This window comes from Homo sapiens, chromosome 7, assembly GCF_000001405.40.
Source record: "Homo sapiens chromosome 7, GRCh38.p14 Primary Assembly".
NCBI lineage: Eukaryota > Metazoa > Chordata > Mammalia > Primates > Hominidae > Homo > Homo sapiens.
The window spans coordinates 87,323,791-87,346,203 of NC_000007.14; the positions used below are offsets into that span (position 1 = coordinate 87,323,791).

Consider the following 22,413-nt stretch of genomic DNA (forward strand, 5'->3'; position numbering starts at 1 on the left):
CATCACCTGACAGGATTTGTAGGATAATTGCCAAGAACTAGAATATTCAGATTTGTACATCACCCATCCCTTTTTGCACTTTCTGAGCTGCAGCCAGAGATTGCTGGTTGGCTTATAGGAATAAGCAGGATTAGTTTAAAATGTAGGCAAAAACTTAAAAACAATCAATGAGATTAGAATTAATGACAAGCATATGATATGTTTTGAAACATAATTTTTCTGTCTCTACTCATTTTTGTTAAAAAAACAAATCATGATAGGACTGAGTTGTTTGCAAAATCAACTTTAGTTTTATACTTGGCCTGATTATTTGTACAAAGCACAGCAAGAATAATTATTTTTACATAGGTTTTTATATTATCTTTGATGAAACTGTTCCACAGGAATCTCAGAACTTTTTAAAGCTGAGCCCAGCCATGGGTTTGTACCCTCAAATACCTATGAGTTGGGTGAATTCCTCTCTCCTTGAGGTCCTAAGAACATGGTGTTCCTGGGCCTGTAGAAAGTGATATTCTTTACTCACCACAGGTTAGGAACCCTGTTCGGGGGCTGTGTAGACAAAGTATGAGGCAGTTTTCCCAAGGGGCTTTTATTGGCTCTGCAAGTCAAGCTCGATTCCTTAAAGGGAAGCACAGCCTTTAGTCAAAACCTTGAGAAAACAACCAGTTTCTCCAATTGTGTCCTCTTGTAAAAGAAAATGATTCTCATTGTGCTGATGCAAATAATTATATTGCCATGAGTTAAGAATACTCACAAATACTTTCCAAGTTCTAGAGGAACCAGAGAGAAACAAATAAATATGCTCTGAATTTTATTTACAGAAGTATACCTTACATAATTATTAGAGGCTATAAATAGCTTAAAATAAGTTTCCTTGACTCTGAAAAACAAAATAAGGATCAGCAACATTTTAAGCAAAAAGGTTAAAAAGTCCATTTTGTTAACTCTTGTTTTGCTTGATATTCATGAATATTTTAGCTCTTCATGAGTCCTGTACATTTTTCCTTTATTCCAATGTCATAATCTCCAAAGTTATCAGAAACTTGCATTTGAGAGCATGTGTCAAAGTCCTATAGCTGATTATAAACCATCCTTTAAAGAGGATTAAAACAAGACGATTTTGAATGGTGAAATGTCCAAGGTAGTTAGTCAAGAACATGACTGACAAATTTTATTATTTCTGTGTTTTACAATAACTTAACATAATAACCTTAATTATGATTTCTAGCATATACTCAGACATTAGAATTTTAGAAATCCCATACAATTTTGGAAAATATATTAATATTATTCACTAAAATATAACCTGAAGATCATTAAACACCATTTGGCCAATCCCATGTACCTAAACATGTTAAATAATCCTGTTTACCTCTCTTCTGGATGCTTCAGGGGCCTTCTGTAGCATCCAAAAGCTAGGGGTCAAGAGAGACAATTTTGAAACTGAAGTTTGATTTTGGGAAGTAAATGTTAGAGGTTCAAAACACTTAATATTACAAAATACAATTCCAGATTACCATAAGTTATTTATTTTGCCAAAATTAGGACTCAGAAACTTTAAGACAAGGCAAAAACCTTTATTCATTAAGAGGGAAGATTTAGCTTTCCAAACAGTTTGTCTCCTGTCTTCTCATTCTTCTCCCTGGCAGTTTATCTGCAAGGCAAATAAAAAATTTTCATTATCCTTCACTATTACATGAAAATCTTGTGCAAGGGAGAGAAAGCCAAATTTTACTCTTACATTGGTTTTAAAACAATCCTTTATCCCTAGGCAAGATTTACATTTCTATATCTTTTTACAATCTTTTACCACAAACACATTTTACTGTTCTTACACACCTTTCATGTAAATCTATTTTTCGTAGTCTCATTTACATGTTATAATGGTAACTCTTGGCAATTTTTAACTTTAATGTAAAACTGGTACATTGTTTTAATTATGTACTAGGCCCAGATAAGGTCTGACTTTTTCCAGCATAGTTAGGGGTGGGGTTAATCTTGTATGTACCCAGGCCTTACCAACTTGTAAAGCAGGCAGTTTACAACCTTGAAACATTTAGCAAACCTAGTATCTGACTTACATGATTTAGGCCACCTATTTACATTTTGACATCTGCATTTTACCAATTATTTTTAAAACTATTTTTATTTCTTAAAGATTAAAGTTATGTGAACTAAAAGGCATTACAGCTTTTATATTTCCTTTAAAAAATTTGATTTAAGCACTTATTTTTCTTTAAGCCAATCAATTAGAGCTCTTTTTATAGGCATCACACACAATACATATATAACTACACAAGCAAACAGAAGCAGATCCAGTATTTATCAGATATTTTTGTTCATCAATCTCCTAATTGAATTATTGGCCTCTGGGTGGTGCTGTTTAAGAGCAGGGCTAGGAAAGCATGCAGTTTCTAGGGTCTAATAAACAGGTATGCTGGAGGACAAAAACAGATTTTGAGAGGGATCTACCTGCCTCTAATTCCTGCGGTTTCATGAGGAAAATGGAGGTTTCTCCCAAAATGGAACCTGTGGTGCCTTTTCATTTTTTTCCCAAGGAGTCCCAGGCCATCAGAAATTATCTTAGGGCCTCTCATGCATGCATTAAGAGTGGCAAAACAAAGTGGAGAAAAAGAATTCAGTTGACTGAGAAAAAAACCTGTTCCAGAAAAACAAGATCCAAGAAGAGAAAAACATAAAGGCCTTGTACATATACTTGTAGATTGGATATCCAGTTTTAATTAAGCTAAGCACTCTTTAAGAAAATCCTTTTAAATCTCATGTTACCTAATTTTAGCCACATCAAATAATTAACATTTCTGGTTTTTGAACTTTACCAAAAGTAACCTAACAGGTGAAATCAAGAAGCCTCAATTAAGGTTATGATTTAACCATGAGTGTACAAGGTACTTTCAAAGGGGTGGTAAGCAGCTTTTGAAACCACCATTGCAAAATTGTAACTGAGATAGTAAAAGAAATCTGACCTAACCAACTCCATCTTGCGTCTAGCCTCCCAGCTGTCCTTGTTCATTCCTGGGCATAGGCTGAACCAACTCTGGGAGGAACTTATAGTTTATAGTCCAAAACAAAAACAATAATAGCCCTTTCCCAAAACAAACCTCCTTCTTGCCTGGGGGACCAGAATGCTTTTGTAGAACCAAGAAACCAGCCACAAGATTAGAAACTATGGGTTAGGAGTCATGTAGCTAGAGGCCACAGATTCTGACCCTCCCTAAACTGCTCCTAAGATCAGCATTTCAGATATTCTGCAGACCCTGCACTTGATGGATCAGCTGGCACCACTCAGAATGATAAACTGGCTCATCTGATCTTGTGACCCCAAACCAGGAACTGACTCAGCACAAGAAGGTAGCCTCAACTCCCTGTGATTTTATCTCTGATTTGACCTATCAGCACTCCCAGCTCACTGGCCTCCCTCTATCAACCAGCCATCCTCAAAAACTCTGCTCCACAAATTCTCAGGGAGAGAGACCCAAGCAATAACAGAACTCCATCTCCTGCACAGCCAGTCCCACATGAATCACCCCCTCTCCACTGCAATTTCCCCATCCTGATAAATCAGCTCTGTCTAGGCAGCGGGCAGGGTGAACCCATTGTGTGGTTACACTTTTACAAAATCTAGAACCTTTAAAGGAAACTCAGAGAAGGAAGATTTAAGAAAGGAGCTAGAAGTTGTTCATGGAGGGGAAGAGAATGAGCAAATGGCAAAAGTCACACAGCTATTAACTTGCAAGTATTCATTCCCCAAGCCAGGATTGAACCTGGGCTGCCATTGTAAAATGGCAGAGTCTAAAACAAAGTACTGCCATGTGGTTATAGGTCAAAATGTAAAACAAGATGGAGTCCTGCAGCAAAGCTTGTAACTGACCAGTTTACCAGGCTAGATTGAACTGCAAGCTTATGGAGTCCCAAGCCTGCATTCCATTCTAAGATACCCCTCTCTCTACCTTTTCCCTCAATTGAATCAGGAGACAGGGAGGTGTGTTTCACTAAAGACTCTCTCAGCCTTTCCAAAAAGGCTAAGGGATTTTCATCTAGTTATTGATCTATCATGGAAAGTTTGGAGTAATTAAGAGGCTTGGCTCTGGTCCTCCCTAAGCCCTCTAATATGCACATTTGAAAATGTTTTAATTTGCACTCATCTAAGGTATCACTGGGGTCTCAATTAGGTTGTTTAAGAGACACTGCCTCTCTTCCTACTAGGAATGGGGATTCTGTCTCTTTCTCAACCTTTCCCTTTTTGACTGGCTTTCCTTTTTGACTGGCTATAGGAGACAAGCTGTTTGTCTCTGAATTTCTCTGCTACCTGTAGGGCTGCCTGTTTCTCAGCAGCAGTTAGGGTTTGATTTAAGAGTACATCACATCCTTCCAGGAGACTTTAAATACTTGGGATAAATCCTGGAAGGCCTCTATATGTGAGTGATGTTGGGGCTTTCCCAGAGTGAACTGTAGGGTCTAAGGTTTAAAGAAGATCCAGGCTGCACTCAAGGGGAGTGCAGGCTTGAAGATGGGTTGTTACCTATCTAGGAAAGAGGGGAGAAGAAGTCTCCTTCCTCCTTTCGGAGTGACCCAGAGTGGCGAGAAAGACAAAAAGGACATCCCCATTCTCCTCTTCCCTCCTGTCTCCTCTGGGTCCTGGCAACCATCATAGGTGCCATGCATGGATGCAAGCATGACCTTCACCCATGGATCTGGAGGAGCTAGTCAGCAGGAGTAGCCATGTTTACCTGTGTGATACCCTAGCTCTCTGCCCTGCTAATTTCCTAGATCCAGTTGGCCCATAAGGCTCCGGGGGTACCCCAGGGGCTCAGAAGAGACTGTATGGTAGTTGAATTTGGGCAAGGCCCTTTAAAGGGGGGAGTGTCTTAAATCTATCCCTTACATCCTCTTACTACCACCCAGGCAAAGTTATAAATTCCTAAAGAATGGGACCAATTGACTTCTAAACATAAGATCCCTTTCTCACTTAGATGCCAATATAGCTGGATGCAGAATAGATGCCTCAAAATAACATAAGAATTGACTGGCCATCCTCCCTCTGATGATTTTAGCACTGAGGCTAAAATCTGTCTTGCTAGAGTAGCTTTCTCCTGGCTGCTGAAAGGGGAGTTATTCTGATTACAAATAGGCCATAGGGACTGATTACTGGGAGAGGGATGTAAGAGGGAAAGGAATCAGGGAACTAGAGTTTCGGGGCAAAGGGCTGACAAGGCTCCCCACAGAGAAAAATCCCATCCCACTAGGTGGTGCCGTAGGGTTTGAAATGTTAGGGAAAAACTGACTTTCCAAGCAGAGGTTAGAAAGAGAGGTTTGGGGCTTAATAGGCTGTCCCCATAATATGCCTCCTAGCAAGAAAAACTTAACTTGTCTTATAAAGGAACTGCTTAAACTCACTGGACGGTTCTGAGCTCTTACACTGAGAAAAAACAACCCAAATGGAGAGGAGGGTATTCACTCAGGGTAAAATATCCTCCCACACAGTGCCATGAATGCTTATTATTAGGGGAAAAGAAAGCCTTTAATAGGTGAAAGTCTAGACTGAAATATTGAAATTCCCCCATCTCAAGGAAATCACAGAAGCAGCAATTTTTTTGAGTTACATTCCTGGTTACTAAGGCACTTGCTAACTTTACCCAACAAGATTATCTCCCCAGGCTTTAAAAAGTCCCTTAACACAGCATGCGAAGAAGGGATAGCAGATATGATAGCCATGAAAAGAAAGGAAGGAAATGCGATAGAAAAGTCTGGAAGTCCTGATGCCGATACCCTGATGGGCTGTTGGGGGCCAGAGTTAATCCAGGGGTCTTCAGGTAACACCGAGGTGTAGCCCCAACCAGATGTCTTCAGTTGCCCCAGGGTCTCCTTCTGTTACTTGGGGGGTCTTTGTTCTTAGAGCTCCCAAGATGGTGGTGGGCAGCTCCCAAGATGGAGGGGGGCGCTCCCAAGATGGAGGGGGGCACTCCCAAGATGGTGGCAAGCCTTTTGTTCTCTGTCCTGGGGTTCTTGGCCTCATAGATTCCAAAGAATGGAACCTTGGGCCATGTGGTGAGTGTTATAGCTCTATTAGAAGCCATGGATCACGGAAGAGAACTATGGAACCCAGCGACTAGTGTTAGGACAAACCTGGGCACTTAGCCGTGCAGGAACAATGGCGAGCCTCTAGCCCAGTTGGGAGTGGCAATGGGCGTCTCACTGGATCAGAAGTGCAGCAGACACCCTGCTGGATCCAGAGGGGTGGAAGTCAGCGGCTAGCCTGTGACGGTGAGCAATAGCTTAGCTTGAGCTGGAACAAACACGGACGAGAAGAATGTGCAGTTGCAAGATTTAATAGAGTGAAAACAGAGAGAGCTCTGATACAACGGGAGGGGATGTAAAGGGGGTTGCCCAATCCAGCTTGAATGTCTGGGTTTATATCCTGATCATTGTCCTTTCCCCTATGCTCTCAGGTGGTAGATGATTTGATTATTTCTTTACCTCCTGCTTTTAGCCTAATTGGTATTTTAGTGAGCTCTCTTTACTACCTGATTGGTTGGGTGTGAGCTGAGTTACAAGACCCACGTTTAAAGGTGGGTGTGGTCACCTTCCCCAGCTACACTTAGGAATTCTTAGTCGGCCTAGGAAATCCAGCTAGTCCTGTCTCTCACTTCCAGTCCCATAGATGGCTAGGTCCTCTGTGAAAGGAAACTGGATTGGAACAGAGCCAACATTCCCACCACATGAGGGCAATCGGGGATTGACAAAGTCCTCTAAAGCAAGCCTGTCCCCTGAGTCTTGTAAGGCTGGCAGCCACTCTAAAAGCTTTTAACTGGCTGACAGGGGCCCAGTGTTTTGTTTAACTTTTTAAAATGGGGTGAAAAGCCTCAGAAATGAAAGTAGAGTTGGAGGTCCACTCCTACTCATTCTTCTGATCTTTCCTTTCCCAGCCAATGCACCAAAATGTTAGTCTTGCCAATGCACCACAATGTAGAAGTCTCTCACTGTGAGGTATCACCCAGAACTCTTTGTCTCAGGATCAAGAGAATTAACGAGCATGGACACAAAGGGTGAGGTTGGAGCAAAAGTTTAATAAGCAAAAGAAGAAAGCTCTCCACCACCAAGAGGGGGCCTGGAAGAGGGTTGCTGTTTTTACAGTTGAATGCAAAGGCTTTTATAAGAAACTGATGATAGCTGGACATCTCATCTGCATAAGGCATGAATTTCTGGTAGCTCCACCCTGTCCTCCTAGTGCACATGCGGGCCCTTAGCTTGAGTTACTCCATATTGCTTTGTTCCCCTTACTGTGCCTGTGTTAGGGGATGGAATTTTCCATTGTGGGCTTGTCTGGGCAAGTCACCTGTTTAGCCTTTCTTATCTGTGCAGCTGTGGGCACGTCTTAGGCAAGCCCCCCCTGTGTAAGTTCCCTTATCTGAGCCTGCAGGCTGTTCTTTTGTGTGAAAGAATTCAACCAAGGACCCCCCCTAACTGCCTGTCTGACTGGTTTCTTCCTTTCTTCAATCTCAGTGACACCAACAGGATTGAAGCATTATTTAGTCTCACTGATATTTGAGGACCAAGATGTTGATGATCATCATGCTGTCAGAAATCACTAATGTTTAATATATTTATGATATAAGGCTCAATAATTAGATGAAAGTCAAAATGAACCACTTTTGCAAAAATTATAGCAGTGAGAAAATTATGGCAGTGAAAGAGATCTGATTTAACCAACCCCCAACTTACTTTTAGCTGCCCTTAATTATTACTGGGCTTAGGTCAAGATAACTTTGAGAGACATTCAGTTTATAGTTTAAATGATAATAGCCCTTCTCCAAAATGCAACTGCCTTAAAGCTAATGAGAGAACACCAGACTAGGAGGACAGAGGTGCCTGAATTCTGCTAAGGTGTAGACATAAACCAGCCATTATTCTGGAGGTCACAAAATATGCAACTTCCCCAATTATTCCTGCAGAGAACATCACTATTGTAGAACCTAAGTTTGGCCTTTTGAGATTTTTTTTCCAGGATTTTTGGCAAGTCTATCGACAAGTGGCTCCACCTGGATCAGCCAACTACTCCTGTGGCCCCACTCAGAAGGGACACAGAGCAAAAGGACAGCTTCTGCTCCCTATGATTTCATCTCCAACCCAACTAATCAGCACTCCCTATACCCTAGCCCCCTGCTCACCAAACTACCTTTGAAAAGCCCTCACCTAAAAGCCTTGAATGAGATTGATTTGAGTAATAACTCTGTCTCTGACGTGGCATCGCCAGCATCAAAGTCCTTCTTTACTGTAATGCCATGGTCTCTGTGAGTTGATTTTGTTTGTGCGGTGGGCAGAAAGAACCTGTTGGATGGTTACAGAAATAGGCTATTTCAAGTAACTGACTATATGTTGCTAGTGTTTTTCTATTAATGTTATATACGGAGATAAATGATACAAATCTCTCTAGTCTTTCTCATTCAAATTAGTGAAGTTTGTTGAAGCTCCCCTTCTTCAGGAGATGTGGGAGGACTTTTTCTCTCACATAATTCACTAGGCTACCAATGGTAACTCATTTGAATTCTGTTCTATCGCCAGACAGTAATAGCAGCTCAGGTTAGTATTTATGTGAACATTTTTTCCCTGTTCTGTTAAAAAAAACCATGTATTTCAAGGCTCTGTTGTAAACAGGTTGACTTTAAATTAAATGTTCTTGTTAATCATTTAAGGAGAATCATTAAGTTATGACTGCCCTTTGGAACACAAATGTTTATTTAAGTTCAGTATTCTGCTTCCCTAGAAATAGGATTTCTATACTCTTTCAGACGAATATTTGGTAAAATGACTTGGCTGCTTCTATATTTAAACTTCCTTTTGAAATGAAAATTTGTTCCAACATGGATTCTAAAGGTTCAGCAAAACTGCTCATGAATGACTGGTTTTAGAAGCATCTTTTGATGTTTTAGAAATTTCTGTTAAGGCCAGGCACTGTGGCTCACACCTGTAATCCCAGCACTGGGAAGCTGAGGCAGGAGGATCACTTGGGCCCAGGAGTTTGAGACAAGCCTGGGCAACATAGGGAAACCTGGTTTCTACAAAAAATATATTTTTAAAATTTTTATTTTGTCCTGCAAGCAAGTTTAAAAAAAAATGAATTTATAAAATTAGCTGTGTGTGGTTTTGCATATGTATGGTCCCAGGTGGGGCCACGGAGTTTGAGGCTACAGTGAGGTATGTGGTGCCACTGCACTTGAGCCTGGGCAATAGAACAAGACTGTCTCAAAAAAAATTAACAAAAAAATTTTTATTAATTAGTTAACTCTCGAATCAAGAATATTCAAAACCTGTATTTTACAGATTCAAAATCTGTAAAATGTGGCTTATCTTTTTTCTTTAAGATATGTAGGCTGCTTTTTTTCTATTTTTTGAACATCCTTTTATTCTCCTAAAAGTTTTCTCTTTTCCATAAAATTAAATTTACTGTTGAAATTGCATCCTTCTATAAATTCAGATTGTTTATAAATATGGGTTTGGAAATTAGCCCGTTTAAATTTGAAATTATTTTATCTTGTATTTTTAAAACTAAAAAATAAGAATGTTGTGAGAAACAGAAACAAAAATTTTGCAGATGCCTATATTTAATATTTTTTCATTATGAAATTAAGATATAATTTACACATCATAGCATTTACCCTCTTGGTTATACATTCAGTAGTTTTAAAAATATATTCACAAATTTGGCCAATAGTCACTAATATCTAATTCTGGAATATTTTAATTAATCCAGAAAGAAACGGCATACTCATTAGCAGTCACTCACCATTCCACCCTCCTCTCAGTTTTCTGTTCCTATGGATTTACTTACTTTAGATGTTTCATAGAAATGGAATCTTACAATGTGACTTTTTGAGTTTGGCTTCTTTTACTTATTGTATTATTTACAAGGTAAATGCGTGTTGTAGCATGTATCAATACTTTGCTCCCTTTTGTGACTCAATAATGTTCCATTGTATGGATATACCAAAATTTGTTTATCTATCTGTTTATGGTCATTTGGGTTGTTTCTACCTGTTGCCTATTGTGACTAGTACTGCAGTGGATATTTCTGTACAAGTATTTGTATGAGTGCCTGTTGAATTCCTTGAGTGTACAGACCTAGGAGTGGAATTGCTGGGCCATACATTCTACATTAACATTTTGAGGAATTGCCCATTTTTTCCATAGAAGCTGCACCATTTTACTTCCCACCAGCAATATATAAGGATTCCAATTTCTTCACATCTATAACTAGACCATCCTCTCTAACACTTACTTTACTTTTTCTAATACCCATCCTAGGTATGAAGCAGTATCTCATTGTGGTTTGGATTTGCAGTCCCTTAGTGACAAATGACATTGCTCATCTGTCATCTGCTTGTTGGACATTTGTCTATCTTCTTTAGAGAAATGTCTTTTCAAGTCCTTTGCCAATTTTTATAATCAGGTTATTTGTATTTTTGCTGTTGATTTGTAAGAGTTTCTTTTCATATATTCTAGATATTAGAGCCTTATTTCAGTGGTCCTCAACCTTGTGGGAACCAAGAACTGGTTTCGTGGAAGACAATTTTTCCATGGGTCGGGGCTGGGGAGGATGGTTTCAGGATGAAACTGCTCCACCTCAGATCATCAGGCATTAGATTCTCTCTCATAAGGAGTGCACAACCTAGACCCCTTGCATGCACAGTTCACAATAGGGTTTGCACTCCTGTAAGAATCTAAAACAACCACTGTTCTGCCACGAGGCAGAGCTCAGGCAGTAATACTTGCTCCACTGCTTACCTCCTGCAGTGTGGCCAAGGTCCTAATGGGCCATGGACAGATACTGGTCCATGGCTTTGGGGTTGGAGACCCCTGTCTTATTTTATATATCATTAGAAAATATATATTTTCCCACTGTGTACGTATTTTTTTATTTTTAATTTTTGTGGGTAGGTGCATATAATTTATAGCATACATGAGAAATTTTGATACAGGCATTCAACGCCTAAAAATTACATCGGGGTAACTGGGGTATCCATCACCTCAAGCATTTATCATTTTTTTGTGTTACAAACATTCCAATTATACTCTTATTTTTTAATGTACGATATATTATTTGTTGACTGTAGTAACCTTGTTGTGTTATCAAATACTAGATATTATTCATCCTATCTGTGTTTGTACCCATTAACCATCCCCACTACTCCCTCACCCCTACTACCCTTACCTGCCTCTGATAACCATCCTTCTACTTTCTATCTCCATAAGTTCAACTGTTATAATTTTCAGCTCCCATGAATAAGTGAAAATATGGGAAGTTTGTCTTTCTGTGCCAGGCTTATTTCCCTTAACATAATGACCTCCAATTCCAATTCCATCCGTGTTGTTGCAGATGATGGGATCCTATTCTTTTTTATGGCTAAATAGTACTTCATTGTGTACCACATTTTTCAATCCATTCATCTGTTGATGGGCACTTAGGAAGCAATTTAAGTTGCTTCCAAATCTTAGCTATTGTGAATAGTGCTGCAATAAACATTGGATGCAGACATCTCTTTGATATACTGATTTCCTTTCTTTTGAGTATATACCTAGCAGTGAGATTGCTGGATCATATGGTATTTCTGTTTTTAATTTGAGGAACCTCCATACTATTCTCCATTGTGGCTGTACTAATTGACATTCCCACAAACAAGGTACAAGAGTTCCATTTTCTCCACATCCTTGCCAGCATTGGTTATTGCCTTTCTTTTGGGTAAAAGTCATTTAAAAATGTTTGTTAGGTGAAATAAAATATTAATTTATATTTGGTGGTAAAGGAAGACTAAAGAGATAATATATAAGCTGAGATCTGAAGGATAAATAAGTGTTGCCAGGTGGAGATGGTGGGAAGTGTCCTTGAAATAGATGGAAGAGCATGTTAAACATTTTGATTTTAAATTAGTGTATTTCAATTTTTAATGGCTATCTCCCTGTCTAGCCTGTGAGTTCCATGAGACTAGAAAGCATATCAGTCTTATTCTCTTAATTTATTTCCTGCACTTAGTACCATGATGGCAACAGTAATTATTGTTGAATGGGTGAACAAACAGGAAAATTAAAATGTACTATATTAGGGTATTTAACCAGGACAAAAACTTTCACTTGCTTATGGGCTTGTGACATTTATCTAGAACTACTAATATTCCTAATGCCTGAATGTCATTTCCAAAGTCTAGGTTTCACTTACCACAAATATGATACAACTCATTGATTTCATATTTTCTGAAAACACTTATGGTTCTGTATACTATTACTCCTTTTTTCCTCAGGAGCTACCAAATTTCGGTGTTCCAAAGCACTACCATGGTGTTTATCTGGTTCCTGGTGCCAGGTACTAGGCTTCCGCCTGTTGTTATAGCTTTCCCAACGCTCATTCTCACTGTCATACATCTGAACAAAGATTGCTTATGGATACATAGTACAATGTACAAACACACAATTATTGCTGTTCTGGGTTGGGCATTGTGTAATTTAAGAAGTAATCTAGCCAGACATAGTGGCTCATGCCAGTAATCTCAGCTCCTTGGGAGGCTGAGGTGGGAGGATTGCTTAAGTCTAGGGATTCAAGAACAGTGTGGATGACGTAGACCACGTCTCTACAATTTTTTTTTAAATTAACTAGGTATGGTGGCACATGCCTATAGTCCTAGCTACTCAAGAGGCTGAGGTGAGAGGATCACTTGAGCCAGAAGTTCAAGGCTGCAGTGAGCTATGTTTGTGCCACTGCATTCTAGCCTGGTGACAGAGCAAGGCCCTGCCTCTAAAATGTTTTTGAAAAGAAGCAATTAAGTAATAAAACTGTTTCCAAACTCAGCTCTGCCAGTGTGTGACCTGGAGGGAAATCACATCATTATTTGCCATTTCAACCATAAAATAAGGAAATATGCATTATAGTAACTTTTTTATGCTTTTATTTTAAGTTCAGGGGTACATGTTCAGGTATGTTACATGGGTAAACTTGTGTCATGTGGGTTTGTTGTAGAGATTATTTCATCACACAGGTATTAAGCCTAATATCATTAGTTATTATTCCTGATCCTCCCCCTGCCACCCCCCGCCATTCTCCAAAAGGTCCCAGTATGTGTTGTTCCCCTCTATGTGTCCATATGTTCTCATCATTTAGCTCCCACTTATAAGTGAGAACATGCAGTATTTGGTTTTCTGTTCCTGTGTTAGTTTGCTAAGGATAATGGCCTCCAGCTCTATCCATGTCCCTGCAAAGGACATGATCTTGGACATGATCTTGTTCTTTTTGGTGGCTGTATTGTTACAGAATTAACAACTTTACAGAATTAACAACTCAAATAGTAATAAACAAGATTTGATAAACTCCAAAGAATTTTACTTTTTTAATTGAGAAAGTTGAAAGAGATAATAAATAAAGTCTCTTCTATTTTTAACATTTTATAATTCTGGAATAGTCCAAAGTTCTCATGAGTGCCTCTATCTTTTCTCCAGGTAAATACTATTTCTATACTTGTCCATGGGATCCCATTCCACTCTCACAATGAGAAACTTAACAGAGCTACATGTTACTGAGACTGCTTTAAGTATTATTTTCCCAAGACAATACAAACCTGAGTCTGGCATCACTATTTTTGGCCTCATGACTATTATATGCCATTCCTGTAGGACTGCGATTAAGCATGAACCTTTCCAGCTGCCTTTATTTAATTATTTCTGGTTCCCAGGCAACTTGTTATTAGTCCATACTTCCTACTGTGCCCATGCTTCCACCTGTTCAACTCTGCCCTTTCCTCAGCTGGACACACCCTTTTCCCATTCTCTACCTAACAAACTCCTGCTCAGAATCCTAATTTCAAGGACTGGCACTGGACATTCTCTATTATTTTAGTTTGTGTTATTCTTACTTAGGATTCTTAATACGAGCTCTCTAGACATGTAGGTCCTGAGATTTTCTCACTTGCTTTGCATTCCATTTGCTTAGAGGGTAGGGAAGGACTATCTTATTAAGGGGGCAGATTCCTGGGCCCCACTCCTCCCATCCAATTCAGGCAGTCAGGGGCAATGCTGGAAATCTGCATTTAATACAAACATCCCAAGTATTCTGATAAAAATCATAGCCCATCCTTTCAGCAATACTGGAGGTTTAAATGAATGAGCTTCAGGGGTCTGTGAACCTCCAGAAATTCTTCAAAACATTTTGTGGCTTTACATATATTTGTATTTTTCTAAGGAAAGGTTTCATAACTTCCAACAGATTATTAAAGGAGTCTGTGATAGAATTTTTTTAAAAGCAACACTATATAATGTTAAATATTTACCATAAATATATATATTTGGCTTTGTTGAATAAAACTTTTTCCTTACTTAAAGGAAAAGAAAAAAGCATGAACTCAGAAATATCAATATCCTTTTTATAAATAAATCAATTTTGATGACTTGGTAAACTATGAAGTAGTCATTATAGAAAATAAGAAAAAACATACGAAAGTGTAAATGAGAAGACAAATATTACCCAATAACCCAGAAGCAACCACTGCTAATGTTTTTTTGTTATAGTTTTCTTTAAGGTGTTATTACTGAGTCTAATATAAGCATTTTACTCTGTAAGACATTCTTCGGTATACAAAAAAAGATAAAAATGTTTAAATTGACTAAGGACAGTAGACACACAAACACACAAACTTGGATTACACACTTTAGGTTCTGGAATGCTAGTTTTAACCTAAAGTAAGCAGCACACATCTATAATGCTGGAGGAAAGGGTAGTCCCAAATTCCACCTGTCATTTGCATTTAAACAGGAAAAGTACAAGACTAGTAGTTAGATAAATCTTGGTTCTGATCTCTCTTCCATCACTTCCTGCTTAAATAATTCCTGATAAGTCATTTAATATTACTGGGCTTCTGATGATTGACCTCTTATAGAGATAATGGCACATAACACTTTTGAAGGCAGGATGCAGAAATTTATGATATCCTGAGGTCCATTAGATATATGGATATACATATTCACAAACATACAATTATATGTATACATAGATACATATATATTTATATAAAATTATTATTATTCATGTTAGGCCATTGGAAAATGCAGGAGAGTATAAAGAAATAAAAATATCCTATATTCTTATAACTCAGAGGTAAAAGCTCTTATCCAGTGTGCTTTTTTAACACATAACAATTCAAGCTGCATCCATTTTGGCTTGGCATTGTCTTAGAGACACACAATGTATGTCTAATAAAATGATATGTGCCATATGTTGGATTTTTATTCAAAAGCAAATATTAATGCAAGGGATAGCATTGAGAACAGTGTAAGTAATGAAAAGATACATAAGTGCAGTACTTATATTTATACAAGCAGAATGTCAAATGCACTGTGTATAGAAGTTACATACTTGGACAGTTTATGATTATTTTTCACAGTATCCTTGCTTCACCATAAAATACAATGAAGTATACCTAAGGACTCTAACCTTCTATGAGTTGTAATATCCATGGAAACACAAAACTGGAAAATTCAGAATTGTCTTATTGATTTGTATCTGTATTTAACATAATGCTGGGCAAGGAACAGTGTTCAATAAATACTTATTTGTATAGCCTTTTACCTCTTTAACTAATCACACAACAGCTTCTATTAAACAAAAAGAAAAAGAAGTGAACCTTGTGCAATCCAAAGCAGAGTCCAAAGTAGTTAAAATGCTAAAAAGAAAACAATATTAGGCAGCCTGTGCTAAGTGTATCAAGTTGCCCAGGCACAGTTAACTGTCCTGGTTAGACAACTTCAGTTGCACAAGGCCTCAGGGTGAAACTGCAGCTGTGAAGAGGTCATAATGGTTGTGAAAAAGACAGGCAGTGGAAACGATCTTTGAGGAAACAGGTTGTGTAGTTGGCCTGGGTTGCTAGTGAAGGGCCAAGAAGAGGAAAAAAGGGAGAATAATAAGAAAGGTTTCTTAAGAGGGAATAACAGACCCAAGAGACGGTGGAACCCACTTTGTTTTCTAAGGAATCCTACAAGTTTCCTGTGGTGGACTGTAAATCACACACTTGTCATGACTACTCCACTTTCTCATGGGATTTCTGCCCTGCAGGAGACAATGCCACACTGAACTCTGCTTGGAGATACCTTGTGAAGCTCACTGGGAGTTTCTGAGAGCTATAAAATAGGTAGGGATTCTGGAGAACAGAGAGCAATAATTTTATTTCCAAGAGAATGCTGAGGTCTAACTAGTAGGGTTTAAATGATTAGCCCAAGACCACATGTCTTTTAGCAACAGAATTAAGTTTCTAGACCTCCCCTTCAGCACTGTATGTTACCGTGCCTCATCCAATTATCTGAATTGCAATGATCCTGCTAGGGAATCTTGAGGCTTATCAAGGTTGTTTTAAATTTTATAAACAATGGTTTGTTATTTATTCCGGAATATTATAGGCTCATCTGGAAAATTCTATCTGGAAAAAAACGATGCCCCTAAAGCCTGAATGGTTTTATATACCAAGATAAGACTGAGAGCCCAGAAGAGGTACAGGAAACACCTCAGACATTCTCAAAACTTTATACAAAATATATTTGCCTCAAAAAGCAAGGAGATAATGCTGAATAAAAGTTGACACATTATTGTGTAAACACTAATATAACAATATCTTTAAGCTTCTTTAACAATCTTAGCGCTTCAACATTATTTTATTTTTATTGACCTAATAATAAGTCATTTGAAGTTTTGCATAAAGTTGCCAAGTTCCTATTTCTCAGGGAAAAACTTTCAGTAAGGAAGAGCCCTTAATTTCTTCTTTAGTACCTGCTTAAATTGAATGGTTCCTCAAACATTACTATTATTTTTGAGACTGAGTTTCACTCTGTCACCCAGGTGGGAGTGCAGTGGCATGATCATGGCTTGCTGCAGCCTTGACCTCCTAGGCTCAAGTGACCCTCCCACATCAGCCTTCCAAATAGCTGGGCTACTGGTGTGCACCACCATACCAGGCTAATTTTTAAAAAATTTTTTGCAGAGACAAGGTTTTGCCATGTTGCCCAGGCTGGTCTCGAATTCCTGGGCTCAAGCGATCCACCCACCTTGGGCTCCCAAAGTGCTGGGATTACAGGCATAAGCCACTGTGCCTGGCCTCAGAAATATTTTGTACGAAGTAATAAACATAACCATTAAGTGCATAATATTTAAAGTCATTCATAAAACTCACCCTCCTAAATATGGGAAAAGACACATCACACAATCACCTTGCTGTTGATTACATGGTCTGGGGTCTCTGCCTTCTCCCCTTGCAACAGCCCTCTAGCCATGGGGGCTTGTTAAGAGTAGATGTGAAGGTTTCAGGTCGCAGCCTGTGGGACTACTGCTTAGTGTGTGGGGTGCTTTGCCTGCACCCATGGTTTCTTTAAGTCTTAAATGATGCCCGCTCCAAGCCATCATCCTAACCCCCACTCCTCCACTCCCGCCCTTGGCCAAAGCATAGATTGTAACCCCCTGCTACTCTCTGAGATTGGCCTTTGATGAGGAATTCAGGGCTTTCCCCATATCTTCTCTCCCCCACCTTTATCAAGGGGCGCTGCTTTTTCTTCCCTCCTTCTCAAGTGTCTTTTCGCACCATCACCAACCAACACCTTCCAAGACACTTCCTTGCTTTGGCCAGAAGCCATCAGGTAAGGTTGGAAAGAGTCTCTGACCTCCCTTGTTTAGTTTTAGAATCTCATTTACTCACTCTCCGCCAGCCTGGGAAATGACTTTGGGTCCTCAGCCCTGCCACTCTCTGCTGTCATCATCAGCTGATGCATTGGTTTTAGCTCAGGTTTTGATAAGGTGAAGAGAATTGTTACCAGGGTTACTCAGACCTGCCAGCTCTCAGAGTCCTTGGTGGTTAAACCTGGAGAAAGAGCACATGAAGACACTTGAAAGCACATATGATCCCTCTGCATTGTTTCATTTTCTTGTAATTGCTTTCGCTTTTAAAAATTGAAGAAGTTTTAAGCAGGGCTCTCATTTGGTCATCCTTGCAATCCACTGGGGTCTAGTTTGGAATCTCACAACTGGAACAAAAAGAACCTTGGATCCAGTGCATGCCTTGGTTTTGGTGCTGCTCCTGCTTCTCAAGATCCTCAGCAGGGATTAAGAAAGAAATTGGGGTACACAGCAGATCCCTGAAATTGGCAGACTTGACCTCCTGGAAAAATTGCTGTGTTTTTCACTTTCTGTTCAGGACCACTACTAAATGCTGAAATGTGGATGCATACCAAACTAAAAGTGATTCGTTGTGTACTAAAGTTTTTTAAAATTATTTGTGTAAAATCATCTTTTGAAGCAGAATCAAGTCTGAAAAGCAACTGATGTTTCCATTAATCTTTTTCTGGGGAAAACCTCAGTTCTAAGGATTTAGCATCCTGTAAGTGAAGTTTAACATAACAGTATTCCATAAGCAGCCTTTTTATGGTCAGACCATTGCCTAATTTTAATATAATTTTAAAATGTGTGCATTAATTAAAAAATGGGAAAAGGATCTTAATAAACATTTCTCCAAAGAGGATATATAAATGGCCAATAAGCACATGAAAAAATACTCAACACTCTTAGTCTTCACAAAAAAATGTAAATCAAAACCACAAGACACCACTTCACATTCATTAGAGTGGCTGTATTTTTTTTAAAAGACAATAGCAAGGGCTGTTATATTGTTATTGTAACTAAAGGCACAGAGAAATTGAAACTCATATTGCTGGCAGATATGTAAAAACGGTACAGTTCCTTTGGAAATCAGTTTGACGGTTTTTGAAAATGTTAAACATAGAGTTAACATACGACCCCACAACTCCACTCCTAAAATACTAATTGAAAGCCTGTTCACACAAAGCTTGTACACAAATGTTTATAGTACCATTATTTAAATAGACAAAAGGTAGAAACAACCCAAATGTCCATGAACTGATGAATGGACAAACAAAAAGTGGTTCATACATTCATCAGTCAGTTGATGAATCATGTTTAATGCCTGTTGGTAACACAGAATTTAGAGCCACTTTGCTTCACTCTTTTCCCAGTCTTGTTATTTATTTCAATGGAAACAAAATGTTCCTGTAAAGATGCCTGGATTTTTGGATATAGAAAAAGTTGTGGGACTGAAAAAAATGAGTGGAACAGAGATTTGAGTATGTAGAAAATAATCTTTTTAAATATTTGAACCAAATGTTCTAAAATTAGCTTATGGTGACTGCATAACCCTGTGAATATAGTAAAACCATTGATTTGTGGACTTTAAATGGCCGAACTTTATGGTATGTAAATTATATTTCAACAAAGATGTTAACAAAATTTTTAAATGTTATATTTTGTTTAGTAAGAAGGTATTTTTTTCTGAGATGCAAAAACATCATAGTTATCTTAACTCTTCCCCTCAGATTTTGGTGGCAACTTTTCATGTACTGTAAATATCATCAAAAGCAACCCCAAATCAATGATTAGTACTAAAAAGAGACCTTTTGTATCAAACACTGTTCATCTGCTGTTGGCAGTGGAGTTCATTTTTAATGCTACATTGCCCTCTTTGCGTCCAGTGTACTTTAATTTGCTGTTGGCTGCTTCCCAAAATGACCATATTTCTACTGCCCCCCCATTAAAAAGAAGAAACATCACAAAATTATTTCTTCAACATGTTCATTTTATACATCAGAATGAAAGGAGGTTACAGGTCTCCCATAGATTAGGGCTATTTACCATATCTCCTTACTTATTAGAGTCACAAATCTTAGCAGGAAGCCAGTTATGCAGATTGAAACATGAACTTCTTAGTCTAGCATTTTAATACTTTTTAATGGTGAAATTTATCTAGACTTATCTATAAAGTCTTTTGCAATTTGTGGTATGCTGAGTAAGAACTACAGAAGAACAAAAATAAAAGATTTTTTTAATGGCAACTTAAAAAATTATCACCACTTGTACTACTTACAAATTTTCCTCCAAAAAGTTACTTTGACTCATAGTCAATTTTTAATCTTGGAACAACTTCTTGCTATCACAAATACTTCAAGTGCCTAAAACATCTTCCTTACCAGCCAATATCTCCCGCTCCACTCTAAGAAATGCAAACTCGTTCAAGTTTAACCTGAATGCAACATAATTTGGAATCTTTCATTAAAATATATATCACACATTTTGAAGCCAAACATATTTTAAAATACCTGTTTTTGGTGATTTGGGGTACATATGCTTATCAGTATAACATATTTTAAAAGATTTTTTTCTACATACTCAAATCTGTGTTCCATTCATTTTTTCACTCCCACACCTTTTTGTCTATCCGATAATTCAGGAATCTTTACAGAAACATCTTGTTTCCATTGAAATAAACAACAAGAGTAGGAAAAAGAGTGAAGCGAAATGGTTCTAAATTCTATGCACCAACAGGCATTAAACATGCATAAACTTTTAAAGAGATGCCAAGACTCACTAAAAAGGAGAAAAAAAATACAACGAAGGTTTCTGAGTAGTTTTTAGTTACTCAATTTAAAAACTTTATCTTGTAAGCAAACTTTAACATCATCCAGAGCATCGCACTTATATATGAAAGAAAAAGTTCTTTATCACACCTTCAGAAATTACAACTACAAATTCCTAATCCCTTATTTAAAATCTTTTTGGCTAGATATGTTTCAAAATTCAGAACTTTTCTTAGAATAGTACGTCTGCCATATATTATGAAACACTTCCAGCAAGCTGTACTGTAATCAAACACAATATTTCTGTAGAAAACTTATGAATATTTACACAAAGGGAACATTCAGTTACACATAGCCTCACTTCCCTTCAGGTCAAACTTTACTGCTAAAGGAGTTAGAAACGACAGACAAAGGAATGGGGCCTGTCATGACATGTTAATTTGAAATCTAAATCTTTATCTTTGATAACTAGTTCAGAGTCAGTGTAAACATTTGGTCTTTCCTTCCACAAAAAAATGAAACAGTGTATTTAAAATTAAAAATGAAACAGTATATTTTATTTCAGAAGGTAAAAGCAAAATGAATTAATCTGTGAAACTAAGTCAATCACATTATGATCTTCTAGAACTTGGGTAGCTCCACTCTGGTTAAAGATTCCATTTCTTGGCACAACAGTAAAAGACATCAGATAGGCCCGGGGGTAAGCATCCCTGGGGTATTCAAATAACTTGGGTAGCAATGAAGAGCTGCAGAAGAGCAAGGAGACCCGAGATGATGTAGTGTGCTGCGGCATACCTGAGTTGGGCAAACTCAGCCTCCGAAGATTAAAGGAAAGAGCCCAAGTAGGAATCTGTGTGATCACTGTTCTTTTGCCAAGACACGGGGTGGACAATAAGATTCCTTTACAAAGCACTGGTGTAAGTGTTCGCCTGGTGCTGCAAAAAGCGGCTCACTGGGAATGGGGAGGAGCGTGTGGTAAGCCAGACCTGCGGCGAGAAGTTGGGTGAAAATGGGTCTTAACCATCGCTTCCTGCATCTATCCCAGAGGGTTGGGTACCTTCGTGGGCGGAGCGCGGCCTGCCCAGAGTGCCTTCTAGATCCTGGGTCAGGCGCCAAGCTCCCCAGCATCATGCAGGAAGCTGCAGCCCCGCAGAGTTAGGACAGCTCATTTGGCACCCGGCGAGCCCTTCCCAGGCCCGCAGCCCAGAATAGAGCCGGGGCCCAAGACGCCCACTGGAGACAGGGTCGGGTCCCACTACCGCGCAGGCCCGGCTCGCCCCCGACGTCAGGCACGGGGCGGGACCCTTGCAGCTGTCCGTCCAGTCCCGTTCCCCGGAAAGTGAGGGGCGGGACCCTCGCGGCTTTCTATCCAATCCTGTTCCCCGGCGAATGCGGGGCGGGACCCTAGCGGCCTTCAGTCCAATTCCCGCACCTTTGAGGCCCAAGGGGGAGCGAGCCGGTGCTGCTGCAGGCTGAGGCTGCGGCAGAGGCGGCGAGGCGCGGGCGGTGAGGACGGACAGGTCCGTTGAAGCAGCATTCCCTCCCTCCCCTAATCCTTCAACTCGGGGGCGGGGGAAAGTTAAGTCGTGCAGAACCGCAAAGGTGCCTGGATTTGGTGGGGGAGTAGTGTCATCAAGCATCTCGCCTGCTGGGGTCTCAGGGGTACCCTCAAGGTTGGGCCGCGGGGCTGCTCCGTTGTAGTGCTTAGATTTCTCTCACTTGATGGCCTCTTGAGTGCAGAGTTGCTCTTGGGTTGGTGGGAAGAGCCTCCGAGCTCTCATTGCCCTCTGCTCCTGCTTCTACCCCTTGCCACTCTGCGACGAACCTGTTACCCAGCCACTGAAAACGTATCCTCTACCCTTTGAACCCGTCTAATGGAAGGTGTACTTGTCTGAAACCTACTTAATTGTATGATCATTTACTCCTGCTCTCTAGCAGGTGGACTATTTGCGTGTG

At 39.3% G+C, this 22,413-nt stretch overlaps 1 protein-coding gene and 1 long non-coding RNA gene across 5 annotated transcripts in view, besides 3 other annotated features; one reads left to right on the forward strand and one right to left on the reverse strand.

The window, feature by feature from the left end:
- Positions 1 to 1,556: 1,556 nt before the first annotated feature.
- Positions 1,557 to 21,702, reverse strand: TP53TG1 (TP53 target 1). The gene is made up of 3 exons (NR_015381.1): positions 21,253 to 21,702; positions 17,733 to 17,894; positions 1,557 to 1,654 (listed from the first exon to the last, which is right to left on the reverse strand). It is a non-coding gene; the product is annotated as a TP53 target 1 (long non-coding RNA).
- Positions 5,990 to 7,189: an enhancer, noted in NCBI's record as "MED14-independent group 3 enhancer chr7:86959096-86960295 (GRCh37/hg19 assembly coordinates)". NCBI's record gives its function as "activates an origin of replication core promoter dependent on BRD2, BRD4, P300/CBP and CDK7 cofactors, and independent of MED14, by STARR-seq in HCT116 cells {active_cell/tissue: HCT116}" and the evidence as "EXISTENCE:reporter gene assay evidence [ECO:0000049][PMID:35650434]".
- Positions 17,983 to 18,052: an enhancer, noted in NCBI's record as "active region_26231". NCBI's record gives its function as "activates an Ori minimal core promoter by ATAC-STARR-seq in GM12878 lymphoblastoid cells {active_cell/tissue: GM12878}" and the evidence as "EXISTENCE:reporter gene assay evidence [ECO:0000049][PMID:35858748]".
- Positions 21,690 to 21,899: a silencer, noted in NCBI's record as "silent region_18346". NCBI's record gives its function as "represses an Ori minimal core promoter by ATAC-STARR-seq in GM12878 lymphoblastoid cells {active_cell/tissue: GM12878}" and the evidence as "EXISTENCE:reporter gene assay evidence [ECO:0000049][PMID:35858748]".
- Positions 21,874 to 22,413, forward strand: part of CROT (carnitine O-octanoyltransferase) — a 54,131-nt gene continuing 53,591 nt past the window's right edge. For all 4 annotated transcript variants that reach the window (NM_001143935.2, NM_021151.4, XM_011516337.4 and 1 more), the window contains exon 1: positions 21,874 to 21,977. The gene's annotated coding sequence lies outside the window, so the exon portion shown is untranslated. The remainder of the gene's footprint in view (positions 21,978 to 22,413) is intronic.